We start from the raw sequence: 14,635 nt of genomic DNA, 5'->3' as shown, positions 1-14,635 counted from the left end.
TTAGTTGATGCAGTTTTTTCCTAGTCTCGATGGTCTTTACATTTTGGCATGATTTTGCAGTGGCTGGTACCAGTTGTTCCTTCCATGTTTAGTGCTTCCTTCAGGAGCTCTTTTAGGGCAGGTCTGGTGGTGACAAAATCTCTCAGGATTTGCTTCTCTGTAAAGTATTTTATTTCTCCTTCACTTATGAAGCTTAGTTTGGCTGGATATGAAATTCTGGGTTGAAAATTCTTTTCTTTAAGAATGTTGAATATTGGCCCCCACTCTCTTCTGGCTTGTAGAGTTTCTGCTGAGAGATCCGCTGTTAGTCTGATGGGCTTCCCTTTGAGGGTAACCCAAGCTTTGTCTCTGGCTGCCCTTAACATTTTTTCCTTCATTTTAACTTTGGTGAATCTGACAATTATGTGTCTTGGAGTTGCTCTTCTCGAGGAGTGTCTTTGTGGCGTTCTCTGTATTTCCTGAATCTGAATGTTGGCCTGCCTTGCTAGATTGGGGAAGTTCTCCTGGATAATATCCTGCAGAGTGTTTTCCAACTTGGTTCCATTCTCCCCGTCACTTTCAGGTACACCAATCAGACGTAGATTTGGTCTTTTCACATAGTCCCATATTTCTTGGAGGCTTTGCTCGTTTCTTTTTATTCTTTTTTGTCTAAACTTCCCTTCTCACTTCATTTCATTCATTTCATCTTCCATTGCTGATACCCTTTCTTCCAGTTGATCGCATCGGCTCCTGAGGCTTCTGCATTCTTCACGTAGTTCTTGAGCCTTGGTTTTCAGCTCCATCAACTCCTTTAAGCACTTCTCTGTATTGGTTCTTGTGGTTATACATTCTTCTAAATTTTTTTCAAAGTTTTCAACTTCTTTGCCTTTGGTTTGAATGTCCTCCTGTAGCTCGGAGTAAGTTGATCGTCTGAAGCCTTCTTCTCTCATTCTCCGTCCAGCTTTGTTCTGTTGCTGGTGAGGAACTGTGTTCCTTTGGAGGAGGAGAGGTGCTCTGCTTTTTAGAGTTTCCAATTTTTCTGCTCTGTTTTTTCCACATCTTTGTGGTTTTATCTACTTCTGGTCTTTGATGATGGTCATGTACAGATGGGTTTTTGGTGTGGATGTCCTTTCTGTTTGTTAGTTTTCCTTCTAACAGACAGGACCCTCAGCTGCAGGTCTGTTGGAGTACCCGGCCCTGTGAGGTGTCAGTCTGCCCCTGCTAGGGGTTGCCTCCCAGTTAGGCTGCTCTGGGGTCAAGGGTGAGGGACCCACTTGAGGAGGCAGTCTGCTGGTTCTCAGATCTCCAGCTGCGTGCTGGGAGAACCACTGCTCTCTTCAAAGCTGTCAGACAGGGACATTTAAGTCTGCAGAGGTTACTGCTGTCTTTCTGTTTGTCTGTGCGCTGCCCCCAGAGGTGGAGCCTACAGAGGCAGGCAGGCCTCCTTGAGCTGTGGTGGGCTCCACCCAGTTTGAGCTTCCCAGCTGCTTTGTTTACCTAAGCAGGCCTGGGCAATGGCGGGCGCCCCTCCCCCAGCCTCGCTGCCGCCTTGCAGTTTGATCTCAGACTGCTGTGCTAGCAATCAGCGAGACTCGGTGGGCGTAGGACCCTCCCAGCCAGGTGCGGGACACAGTCTCCTGGTGCGCCGTTTTTTAAGCCCGTCGGAAAAGCGCAGTATTCGGGTGGGAGTGACCCGATCTTCCAGGTGCGGTCTGTCACCCCTCTCTTTGACTAGGAAAGGGAACTCCCTGACCCCCTGCGCTTCCCGAGTGAGGCAATGCCTCACCCTGCTTCGGCTCGCGCACGGTGTGTGCACACACTGACCTGCGCCCAGTGTCTGGTATTCCCTAGTGAGATGAACCCTGTACCTCAGATGGAAATGCAGAAATCACCTGTCTTCTGCGTCGCTCAAGCTGGGAGCTGTAGACCGAGCTGTTCCTATTCAGCTATCTTGGCTTCTCTGTATATCTTCTTTTGAGCATTGTCTATTCATGTCCTTAGCCCACTTTTTGATGGGATTTTTGTTTTTTTCTTATTGATTTGTTTGAGTTCATTGTAGATTCTGGATATTAGTCCTTTGTCAGATTACGGATTGTGAAGATTTTCTCCCATTCTGTGGATTGTCTGTTTATTCTGCTCACTGTTCCTTTTGCCATGCAAAAGCTCTTTAGTTTAATTAAGTCCCAACTGTTTATCTTTGTATTTGCTTTTGGGTTCTTGGTGATGAAATCTTTGCCTAAGCCAATGTTATCGTATAGAGTTTTTATAATTTCAGGTCTTAGATTTAAGTCCTTAATCCATCTTGAGTTGATTTTTGTATAAGGTGAGAGATGAGGATTCAGTTTCATTCTCCTGCATGTGGCTAGTCAGTTATCCCAGCACCATTTGTTGAAAAGGGTGTCCTTTCCTCACTTTGTGTTTTTGTTTGCTTTGTGAAAGATGAGTTGGCTTTAAGTATTTGGGTTTATTTCTGGGTTCTCTATTCTGTTCCATTGGTCTATGTGCCTATTTTTATACCAGTACCACTCTGTTTTCATGTCTATGGCCTTATAGTATAGTTTGAAATCAGGTGGTGTGATACCTCCAGATTTGTTCTTTTTGCTTAGTCTTGCTTTGGCTATGCAGGTTCTTTTTTGGTTCCATATGAATTTTAGAATTGCTTTTTCTAATCCTGTGAAGAATGATGGTAGTATTTTGATGGGGATTGCATTAAATTTGTAGATTGCTTTTGGCAGCATGGTTATTTTCACAATATTGATTCTACCCATCCATGAGCATGGGATGTGTTTCCATTTGTTTTGTCTGTGATTTCTTTCAGCAGTGTTTTGTAGTTTTCCTTGTAGAGGTCTTTCGACTCCTTTGTTAGGTATATTCCTAGGTATTTTATTTTATTTTATTTTTTGCAGCAATTGTAAAAGGTGTTGAGTTCTTGATTTGATTCTCCACTTGGTCACTGTTGGTGTATAGAAGAGCTACTGATTTGTGTATATTAATCTTTTATCTGGAAAATTTGCTGAATTCTTGTATCGTTCTAGGACCTTTCTGGAGGAGTATTTAGGGTTTTCAAGGTAAACGATCATATCATCAGTAAATAGTGACAGCTTGACTTCCTCTTTACCAATTTGGATGCCCTTTATTTCTTTCTCTTGTCTGATTGCTCTGGCTAGGACTTCCAGTACTATGTTGCAGAGGAGTGGTGAGAATGGCCATCCTTGTCTTGTTCCAGTTCTCAGAGGGAATGCTTTCAACTTTTCCCCATTCAGTATAATGTTGACTGTGGGTTTATCATAGATGGCTTTTATTCCATTGAGGTATGTCCCTTGTATGCCGATTTTCCTGATATTTTAATTATAAATGGATCCTGGATTTTGTCAAATGCTTTTTCTGCATCTATTGAGATGATCATGTGATTTTTGTTTTTAATTCTGTTTATGTGGTGTATCACATTTATTGACTTGCATATGTTAAACCATCCCTGCATCCCTGGTATGAAACCCACTTGAGCATGGTGGATTATCTTTTTGATATGTTTTTGGTTTCAGTTAGCCAGTATTTTGTTAAGGATTTTAGCATCTATATTCATCAGGGATCTCGGTCCATAATTTTCTTTTTTGTTTATGTCCTTTCCTGGTTCTGGTGCTAGGGTGATGCTGGCTTCATAGAGTGAATTAGGGAGGGTTCCTTCTTTCTCTATCTTGTGGAATAGTGTCAAAAGGGTTGGTACTAATTCTTTGAATGTCTGGAAGAATTCTGCTGTGAGTCCATCTGGTCCTGGATTTTTTTGTTGGTAATTTATTAATTACTATTTCAATCTCGCTGCTTGTTATTGGTCTGTTCAGGGTATCTAATTCTTACCGATTTAAGCTAGGAGGGTTGTATTTTTCCAGGAATTTATCCATCTTTTCTAGGTTTCTAGTTTATCTGCATAAAGGTGTTCACAGTAGCCTTGAATGATCTTTTGTATTTCAGTGGTATCAGTTGTAATATCTCCTGTTTCTTTCTATTTTTTTTTTGAGATGGAGTTTCACTCTTGTTGCCCAGGCTGGAGTGCAGTGGCACGATCTCAGCCCACTGCAACTTCCACCTTCCGGTTTCAAGCGATTCTCCTGCCTCAGCCTCCCAAGTAGCTGGGATTACAGGTGCCTGCCACCACGCCCTGCTAATTTTTGTATTTTTGGTAGAGATGGGGTTTTACCATGTTGGCCAAACTGGTCTCAAACTCCTGACCTTGTAATCTGCCCGCCTCAGTCTCCCAAAGTGCTGGGATTACCGGCGTGAGCCACTGTGCTTGGCCTATCTCCTGTTTCTTAATGAGGTTATTTGGATTTTCGCTTGTCTTTTCTTGGTTAGTCTTGCTAACCAATTTTATTTATCTTTTCAAAAAAACTAACTTTTTGTTTCATTTATCATCTGTTTTCATTTTGTTTCGATTTCATTTAGTTCTGCTCTGATCTTGGTTATTTCCTTTCTTCTGCTGGGTTTGGGTTTGGTTTGTTCTTGTTTCTCTAGTTCCTTGAGGTATAGCCGTAGAGTGTCAGTTTGTGCTTTTTCAGTCTTTTTGGTGTAGGTGTTTAGGGCTGTGAACTTTCCTCTTAGCACCGCCTTTGCTGTATCCCAGAGGTTTTTGTTCAGTTCGAAGAATTTTTAAATTTCCATCTTGATTTCATTTTTGACCCAATGCTAATTCAGGAGCACGTTATTTAATTTCCATGTGTTTGCATGGTTTTGAAGGTTCCTTTTGGAGTTGATTTCCAGTTTTTTTCCCACTGTGGTCTGAGAGAGTGCTTGATATAATTTCAATTTTCTTAAATTTATTGAGGCTCATTTTATGGCCTATCATATAGTCTGTCTTGGAGAAAGTTCCATGTGCTGTTGAATAAAATGTGTATTTTGTGGTTGTTGGATGAAATGTTCTGTATATATCTGTTAAGTTCATTTGTTCCAAGGTATAATTTAAATCAATTGTTCCTTTGTTGACTTTTTGTCTTGATGACTTGTCTAGTGCTGTCAGTAGAGTATTGAAGTCCCCCACTATTATTGTGTTGCTATCTCATTGCGTAGATCTATTAGTAATTGTTTTATAAATTTGGGAGCTCCAGTGTTGCATATATGTTTAGGATTGTGATATTGTCCTGTTGGACAAGGCCTTTTATCATTATATAATGTCCCTCTTTGTCTCTTTTGGCTGCTGTTGCTTTAAGTTTGTTTTGTCTGATATAAGAATAGCTACCCCTTTGGCCAGGCATGGTGGCTCAGGCCTTTAATCCCAGCACTTTGGGAGGCCAAGGCGGGCAGATCACCTGAGGTTGGGAGTTCAAGACCAACCTGACCAACATGGAGAAACCCTGGCTCTACTAAAAATACAAAATTAGCCGGGCATGGTGGTGCAGGCATGTAATCCTAGCTACTTGGGAGGCTGAGGCAGGAGAATCGCTTGAAACTGGGAGGCAGAGGTTGTGGTGAGCTGAGATTGCGCCATTGCACTCCATCCTGGGCAACAAGAGCAAAACTCCATCTCAAAAAAAAAAAAAAGAAAAAAAAAGCTACCTTTGCTTGCTTTTGGTGTCCATTTGCATGAAATACCTTTTTCCACCCCTTTAAGTTTATGTGAGTCTTTACATGTTAGGTGAGTCTTCTGAAGGCAGCAGATGGTTGGTTGGTGAGTTCTTCTGCATTCTGTGGTTCTGTATCTTTTAAGTCGAGCATTTAAGCCATTTACATTCTGTGTTAGTATTGAGATGTGAGGTACCATTGCATTCATCATGCTCTTTGTTGTCTATGTACTTTGGTTTTTTGTTTTTGCTTTTTAACTTGTAGTTTTGTTTTATAGGTCCTGTATGATTTCTGCTTTAAAGAGGTTCTGTTTTGATGTGTTTCTAGGATTTGTTTCAAGGTTTAGAGCTTCTTATTAGCAGTTGTTGTAGTGGTGGCTTGGTAATGGTAAATTCTCTTAGCATTTGTTTGTCTGAAAAAGACTGTATCTTTCCTTCATATATGATGCTTAGTTTCACTGGATACAAAATTCTTGGCTGATAATTGTTTTGTTTGACAAGGCTGAAGATAGGGTCCCAATTGCTTCTTACTTGTAGGGTTTCTGGTGAGAAATCTGCTGTTAATATGACAGGTTTTCCTTTGTAGGTTACCTGGTGCTTCTGTCTCACAGCTCTTAAGATTCTTTCCTTCATCTTAACTTCGGATAACCTGATGACAATGTGTCTAGGAGACGATCTGTTCAGGCTGAATTTTCCAGGTGTTCTTTGTGTTTCTTGTAATTGGATGTCTAGGTCTCTAGCAAGGCTGGGGAAGTTTTCCTTGATTATTCCCCTAAATATGTTTTCCAAGGTTTTAGGATTCTCCCCTTCCTCCAGAACATCAATTATTCTTAGGTTTGGTCGTTTAACATAATCCTAGACTTCTTGGAGGCTTTGTTCATATTTTCTTATTCTTTTTTCTTTGTCTTTGTTGGATTGGGTTAATTTGAAGACCTGTCTTTGAGCTCTGGATTTCTTTCTTCTACTTGTTCAGTTCTATTCCTGAGACTTTCCAGAGCTTCTTGCATTACTAAAGTGTGTCCAATGTTTCCTGAATTTGTGGTTGTTTTTTCTTTAAGCTATCTATCTCCTTGAATATTTCTCCCTTCACTTCTTGTATTGTTTTTTGGATTTCCTTGCATTAGGTTTCACCTTTCTCTGGTCCCTCCCTGATTAGCTTAATAACTAACCTCCTGAATTCTTTTTCAGGTAAAACAGGGATTTCTTCTTGGTTTGGATCCATTGCTGGTGAGGTAGTGTGCTTTTTGGGGGTGCTAAAGAGCCTTGTTTTGTCATATTACCAGATTTTTTTTTCTGGTTCCTTCTTATTTGTGTAGGCTCTGTTAGAGGGAAGGTCTAGGGCTGAAGGCTGTTTTTCAGATTCTTTTGTCCCAAGGGGTGTTCCCTTGATGTAGTACTCTCCCGCTTTTCCTATGGGTGTGGCTTCCTGTGAGCCGAACTGCAATGACTGTTGTCTCTCTTCTGGGTCTAGCCACCCAGCAAGTCTACCCTGCTCTGGGTTGGTACTGTGGGTTATCTGCACAGAGTCCTGTGATGTGAACCATATATGGCTCTCTCAGCTGTGGATACCAGTTCCTGTTCTGGTGGAGGTGGCAGCGGGGTGCAGTGGACTCCGTGAGGGTTCTTAGCTTTGGTGGTTTAATGCTCTATTTTTGTGCTGGTTGGCCTCCTGCCAGGAGATGGGGTTTTGTAGAGAGCATCAGCTGTGGTAGTATGGAGAGGAACTGGCAGCGTGCAGGTCCTAGAACTACCAAGATTATATGCCCTTTGTCTTCAGCTACCAGGGTGGATAGGGAAGGACCATCAAATAGGGACAGAGCTAGGCGTGTCTGAGCTGAGACTGTCCTTGGGTGGGTCTTGCTGTGGCTGCTGTAGGGGGTGGGAGTGAGATTCCCAGGTCAATGGAGTTGTGCACCTAAGAAGATTATGGCTGCCTCTCCTGAGTCATCCAGGTTGTCAGGGAAGTGGGGGAAAGCTGGCCATCACAGGCCTCACCCAGCTCCCAGGCAAACCAAAGGGCTGGTCTCACTCCCACCGTGCCCCCAAACAGCCCCAAGTCTGTTTCCAGGTGGTGGGCAAGCTGGGCTTGAGAACTTGCCCCAGGCTACCTGCCTGCCACCTTCAAATGAAAACGGCCTGGTTCTTCCCCCACGCTGTGGAGTCTGCATGCTGGATTCACACCCTCCCTCAAGTTCTGGCCATGAGGCTTCTCACCCTGTTCAAATTGTTACGAAGTTCAGCTGGAATTTTCCTTCTCCCTGTGGTGCTTCCCCCTCCCCCAACCCCTGCTTCTCTGGCTGCCCTCCCAGTGGATCCCTGTGATGCCAGGCAGGAATGGCCTGACTGGGGACCCAGCGAGCTCCTAGGGACTTTCTGCTGCTTCCTCTCTATATTTTTTTTTGCTTGGCTCTTTAAATTGACTCAGCTCCAGGTAAGGTCAGAAACTTCTCCCGCAAACAGACCTTCATTTGCCCCAGTGGGGTTGTGTATTCAGGAGAGGAGGCTCTCCCTTTCCCACTTCCGCAGTTGGGGCACTCACAGTATTTGTGGTGTCTCCCAGATTTTGCAGGAGCAGTCCGCTTCCTTCAAAGGGTCTGTGGGTCCTCCCTCATAGGGATAACTTCTACTCACTGTTTAAGATTCACCTTCTCTGAAATCCCACCACTTATGACAACTTGGATGAACCTGAAGGACATTATGCTAAGTCAAATAAGCCCGGCACAGAAAGATAAATATTGTATGATTGTATTTATATGTGGAATCTAAACAAGTCAAACTCATAGAAGCAGTTTTACCATAGTTGCCAGGGGTTGGCATGTGGGGGAAACGGGGACATATTGGTCAAAGGGTATACACTTTCAATTATAAGATGAGTAAGTTCTAGGGACCTAACTCACAGCATGGTGAAGACAGTTAATAATAATGTATTGCTTACTTGAAATTTGCTAAGAGAATAGATCTTACATGTTCTCACAGCACATACACACAAACGCAAAGGGTAACTGTGTGGTGATGGATATATTGATTAATATGATTGTAGTAATCATTACACAATGTATATGTATATGAAAGCATCATATAGTACACCTTGAATCTACACAATTTTTATTTGTTAATTGTACCTCAATAAAGCTGGAAAAAAGATTCACATTCTCTGAGAAATTTTATTTAATCCCTTCAAACTGAGAGACTGTCCTCTATGCTGTGGGTAACTCTATTTTAGTTCCCATGTAAATGTGTTTATTTGTCTCCCCTCCTGATCTTTATCTTTGCATTTCCAACATTTAGCACACTGCCTTGATGCAAAGTCGAGGCTCAGCATAGGAGAGGCTCAACATAGTACAGGTTGAAGGAATGGTTGAATTAATTAACTGATAGCTTAAAGCCCTCCACTTGTATTTTTTAAAATAATATTCCTAAATATATTTTGTTCTCTTGCCAGGGTTAAAACTCATATGTTACTTCTCTACCCACTTGCACAGACTTTAAGGTCTTTTTAAATCCCATCTGTGTGTTTCTTCGTCAGCTGGAAACATTTAATGTCTTCTTAACTTGGAAATCTCCTGTGAGCTTTCTTCTGGAGCATTTAAAAAAAGATTATAAATAAGTATCAATCCTTGAGGAGCTGAATTCTTTATACTTCTCCATCCAAAGAAATCCCTGATTAACTTTACTGTTTAATGCCTATTTTGACTTTATGTAAAATTTTAGGGTAAATGGACAAACAAGAACCTTTGAACCTATGGTATCATCAGTTAAAATAAAACAACTACAAACACCACTACCACAACATACATTTAGGAGGTGACAGTCATTAATTTCTCTTTTATCTGTGTGCCTATTTACTACATTAAGTTTATCATGCTTGATGTCCTTTGGGAGAAATGGTCATGCCTTGTCAGTTTTCCTTACATAAACTCTGCCACCTGCCCCTTTGCCCCTGTCCACTGCTGTAACGTTATATTTGTTATGTTCACTGATCTAGTCCTTTTTCGCAGGCGTCAAGGACTTGCTATTTGGGCTCATGGATTCTGTAATTGCCTTGGGCAGAGATGACAAAGCATAGGCTCCAAATTCAAAATACATTTGTATTTTTAACATTTCAAAGTCCCCATGGCATTAAAGTTACTACAATTTACCATCAGATTACACATTGCTACCATTAGAGCAAAAGAAATAATTTTAACTTTAGCTTCTTGATTATAATCTATGTTCAAGTTTTTCACCTTTCAGAAACAAACTAAACCTTGACACTGTCCTTCTAAATAAAGAAGCATAATGTATAGGTCACTTCAGAGAGAATTATGTATTAAGTTGTGATTGTACAGTAATATCAGAGAATTTGCCTTACCTTTTTCTAAATATTTATACTTTTAATTATTACTCATCTGAGGAGCTGTGCATCCTTTCTAAACATTAAACTATTTATCCTCTAAGTTACACTGATGACTGTAGGTAGAGCTTGTACAACGTTGTGGGAAATACAAAAATCACTAAGATTATCAGTACAGAAACAGTACACCAAGTTTGACAGATGTAAGGAATAAAACAATTCCGTATTCTTTCTACACCTTTTCTCTATTTTCCACTTATATTCCATTTCTGATGTGCTATGTACTCAATCTTGTGAGAGGGTCGGCAGAAGTATCATTATCCCATTTTTACAGATAGAAAGACAGACACCGAAAGAGATGAGTTACCTAGCTCACAGTGCTAATGACAGAACTAAAACTAAAACCCAGACCACATATACAAGGGGGAAATCGTAGCAAGCCAAGAAAACCATAGTGTCTTTTCTTGGGTGATTAGTGACTATGAACAGTGGGTTGATAGCTACTTCTAACTGTCCTCCCTACATTTTGTAACGAAGTTAATCTCTCCAAAGCCTGAGTGAAGTAGCAGACAGTGTTTATTTTCAGAAGGGAAGGAACTAAAAATATAGTAGCACAAGCCATTTATTAACCTCATGCAACATTATTCCCAGAGTAGCAGAGTCTTGTGAAAAGGCATAAGGTTAGCAATCAGTAGACTTAGGTTTAGATCTCTGTTCCTTTACTAGTTTCTATCTCCTTGCACCAAACACCTGTTTAGTTAAAATAGGACTAATAATAGCAGCCTCATTCCCTCAAAGACTATTGTCATGATCAGTAAGATACTGTATAGAAGCACTTTATAAGCTACATGATATTATACAAATACAAGTCCTCATTCTGTGTAGCAAATAAGAAATTTTTCCACTTTGGGAGGCCGAGGCGGGCGGATCACAAGGTCAGAAGATCGAGACCATCCTGGCTAGCATGATGAAACCCCGTCCCTATTAAAAATACAAAAAATTAGCTGGGTGTGGTGGTGGGTGCCTGTAGTCTCAGCTACTCAGGAGGCCGAGGCAGGAGAACTGCATAAACCCAGGAGGCGGAGCTTGCAGTGAGCCTAGATCGCGCCACTGTACTCCAGCCTCGGCGACAGAGCGCGACTCTGTCATAAAAAAAGAAAAAAGAAAAAAATTTTTCCTATGTAGGAAATAATGTCACATAGTTTTTAGGATAAGGGCTTGGAAGTTATACTGACGTGGGTTACAATACAAGAAATACCACCATCTAGCTCTGCCACTTGGCTAAGAAACTTAGTCTCTTGAAACCTTAGTGTTTTGAGTTTTAAAATGGGAATAATCACATCTCTCATGAGTTTTTATAAAGATTATATGAAATGTTGTATATGAAGTGAATGAACTATTGTAAATGTCCCTTGAATTAGTTTTTTTTAACTTAAGCTTTTATTTGGGAGTAATTTTAGATTTACAGAAAAGTTGCAAAGGTGGTACAGAGAGTTCCCATTTACCTTTTTTCCAGTTTTCTCCATTGTTAATGCTGTATCTTACATTTGCCACTACAAAGAAATGGATACTGATGCATTGCTATTAACTATTAATAATGGTTATTTGGATTTCAGCAGTTTTTCATGAATGTTTTTTCTGTTCCAGGATCTAATCCTCAGTACCACACTGCATTTAGTTATGTCTCCCCAATCTTCTCTGTTCTGTGACAGCTTGTCAGTCCATCTCCTGTTTTCCATGATGTTAATGGTCTTGAGGAATACTGCCCAGGTGTCATTTAGGATGTTCACCAATCTCATTTTGTTTGTTGCTTTTCTCATGATTAGACTGGAATTATGGGTTCCTGGAGGGAATACCACAGAAATGGCATACTTTTCCTGTCACAGTATATCAAGGGGTACATGATATCCATGTGATATCACTGATTATGTTAAATTTCATCACTTGGTTAAGGTAGGGCTTGCCAGATTTTTTTCTTGTATATTGAGCTAGTTCTGATCGCCTATCACTTAGACAGGGCATTCTCTTTCCTCTCTTCTCTCTGATGTAATGCTATTCATTTACATTTACTGCAAATTGTCATCTCTGAAGAAATACCTTCTCGGACCATTCAGCCTAAAGCAGCTTTTCCTTTCAAGTCAATCTCTATGACACTTCACTTTTGTGTTTTCTTCATAGCATTTATTGTCACCTGAAATCATCTCGTATATTTGTTCATCTAGTTCATTGTTTGTCTGTAGGCCCTTTCCCCCCAAAAGAAAGAAGAACAAGGTCCTTGTAGGATTTTTTCATATCTGTACACTGGAGTCCAGCACAAGGGCTAGAATATGCTAAGTGCTCAGTAACTAATTGTTGAATAAATATCAAAGAAAGAATGATATAGGATTAATTTATTAGTATTTCTGAAAAAGAAAAATAGCTGAATGGTGGGAGGTTTCATTAGTGTTCTTAACTCAATTGGTCTAATTTTAACGGAGAGGTTAAATGCAATTATCAACATCTATGGAATGAGGTAATCAGCATCCTTGTAATTCAAGCTCCCATGTAATGCACTTAATAATGTGAATGCCAGAGTATTTTAGCTACTTATAAGGATTTGACTGACAAGGACTTGACTGAATAGTAATGGATCTTTACACATCTGCTCTACGGGGACCTTTACTTATTAACTGTGTCATTGTTTATACTGCAGAATTTTTAACAGAAACTGAAAGAATGTAGAAATAATAGATGCCCTTGATTATAACTTATAGCTGACTTCTTCATGTCTATTATCTTTTCATTTATACTTACAAAAAAAGAAGCTTTTTAATTTAAGTCTTTCTCCCATAACCCATTGTAAGATACCACTCTTTTTATTTACCTTCTCAGGACTTAAAATCTCCAAATCAGAGAGATGAAATTGCAGGAGCCCGAGCTTCACTGAAGGAGAACTCTCCCCTCTTGCATTCAATTTGTTCAGCTTGTTTGGAGCATTCTGATGTTGCTTCCCTCAAAGCAAGCAAGGACACAGTTTGTGAAGAAATTCAGAATGCTCTCAATGTAATTTCAAATGCTTCACAAGGGATCCAGAATATGACAACCCCACCAGAACCTCAGGCAGCAACCCTGGGAAGTGCCCTTGATGAGCTGGAGGTAAGTCGGGAGAAAGATAAAGTGTGATCTGATGTCCTAATACAGTAATAATAATAATAAAACAGAAGAAGATCCACATGTTGGCGTTTAGAGCATGAGAAAATAAAAAATCCAGATTAGTCTCTATCACCTTCTTGAGTCTTCCAAAGAATTGATTAACAGGAAAGTACTCTGTTAGTAAACTTCTGACTCCTGTACATCTCTGCCAAGGAATCCAATGAATTTGAAGTGGGATTGTTAATTAGATCGAAATGATGACTTTGTTTTATGTAGATCTACTTATGAAGCATAAGATTTATTCACTCCACAAATACTTATTGGCATTACTGTTCTATGTGCTTGGGACATATCTGATCACTTCCCTTGACAAATTTTTACATTTTAGCAGGTGATTATAGGCAAAAAATAAAACCAATAAACACTGTAGAGAACAAAATTGTATAGATGTTACACTGAGAAGGTGAGATAATGCCAAAGCCTTGAAAGAGTTCAGGAATCGGGCAGATGAAGATCTAGAGCAAAGGCTTGAAGGTATGTGCCCTGTGTTTAAGTGACAACATAAAAACCAGGGTGTCTAGGTGAAGACAGCAAAGTGATGAGTAGCAGGAGCTAAGGTTGGAGAACCAACCATTTAGGAGTGTGTATGCCTTTAAGGACTTTGGCTTTTACTCCAAGTTAAATGGGAATACACTGAAAGGTTTTAAGCAAAGGTGTGACATGCTGCGACTCGTGTCTTAAAAGGACTATGATAGTTGCATAAGGAACATAGACTGAAGGAGAACAATGAGAGGAACTGAAAAACCAGGCTGGAGGCTATTGTAGTAACCCAGGTTCCATTTATACACTTTACATGAACCACCTCATGTTTTAGTTTAGACTAGAGTGGTGTTGGTGGACATCAGTGCTAAATTTTGTAAATAGAGTCAACTGAATTTTGATAGAATGGATGTGGGACATGAATGAAAGGAAGGAGTCATGGCTAGTGTTGTAGGCTGGGTCCTCCAGAATCACACACAGAATGGAGTTTGGAAAACAAGGTGTTACATTTGGGAAGGAAAGAGGGAAGGAGCGGGACTGGATAGAGGAAGAAGTCTACCTGACAGCTAGACCCGCAAAGCCTAGGCCAATCAGCAGGGAGCTCTGGTGAGAGCATTGCCCTCCAGAGTGTACCTTGTCAGGCAGAAATGGCCAGGCCTGTATGTCTCTTTCAGTCACTGGATGCAGGTTACTCTACCCTGGGAAGGGTATGACCTTTAGGGGCCTGAAACACTCTATATACACACTGAATATGTATTACTTTTGCACCATGATAAAGCTGGAAAAAATTATAAGTTGAACCATTGTTAAATCAAGTCAGGGACCATCTGTAGTCTGTATCTGGGGAGTGCCGAGTGTGATACATTGAAATTTGTTAGAGTAGATAGATAGGATCATACGGGTTGAGCATCCCTTATCTGAAATGCTTGGGACCAGAAGTGGTTTGGATTTTGGAATTTTTTGGATTTTGGAATATTTGCATATACCTAATGAATTATCTTGGGAATGGGATTGATGTGTAAACATGAAATTCATTTATATTTCATATATACCCTATACACATAGCCTGAAGGTAATTTTATACAACATTTTAAAAATT

General features: G+C 40.4%; 1 protein-coding gene across 9 annotated transcripts in view, besides 2 other annotated features; it reads left to right on the top strand.

Annotated features, from left to right (window-relative positions):
- CTNNA3 (catenin alpha 3) overlaps positions 1-14,635 on the top strand; it is a 1,851,072-nt gene that overhangs the window by 530,989 nt on the left and 1,305,448 nt on the right. For 8 of the 9 annotated variants that reach the window (XM_047425124.1, NM_013266.4, XM_017016152.2 and 5 more), the window contains one exon: positions 12,736-12,999. In XM_047425124.1, coding sequence (XP_047281080.1) covers positions 12,736-12,999 — 264 coding nt within the window. Of the gene's footprint in view, positions 1-1,588; positions 1,685-12,735; positions 13,000-14,635 lie in introns of those variants that run through there. The other variant, XM_017016156.2, reaches the window with a different exon arrangement.
- Positions 1,048-1,631: an enhancer, noted in NCBI's record as "NANOG-H3K27ac-H3K4me1 hESC enhancer chr10:68990733-68991316 (GRCh37/hg19 assembly coordinates)". NCBI's record gives its function as "activates a minimal SCP1, AML or CMV promoter by ChIP-STARR-seq in naive and primed H9 embryonic stem cells {active_cell/tissue: H9 hESC(naive and primed)}" and the evidence as "EXISTENCE:reporter gene assay evidence [ECO:0000049][PMID:30033119]".
- Positions 1,632-2,217: an enhancer, noted in NCBI's record as "NANOG-H3K27ac-H3K4me1 hESC enhancer chr10:68990147-68990732 (GRCh37/hg19 assembly coordinates)". NCBI's record gives its function as "activates a minimal SCP1, AML or CMV promoter by ChIP-STARR-seq in naive H9 embryonic stem cells {active_cell/tissue: H9 hESC(naive)}" and the evidence as "EXISTENCE:reporter gene assay evidence [ECO:0000049][PMID:30033119]".

Source organism: Homo sapiens, chromosome 10 (genome assembly GCF_000001405.40).
Source record: "Homo sapiens chromosome 10, GRCh38.p14 Primary Assembly".
In the NCBI taxonomy this organism is placed as follows: domain Eukaryota; kingdom Metazoa; phylum Chordata; class Mammalia; order Primates; family Hominidae; genus Homo; species Homo sapiens.
This window is presented reverse-complemented; position numbering and strand designations above follow the sequence as displayed.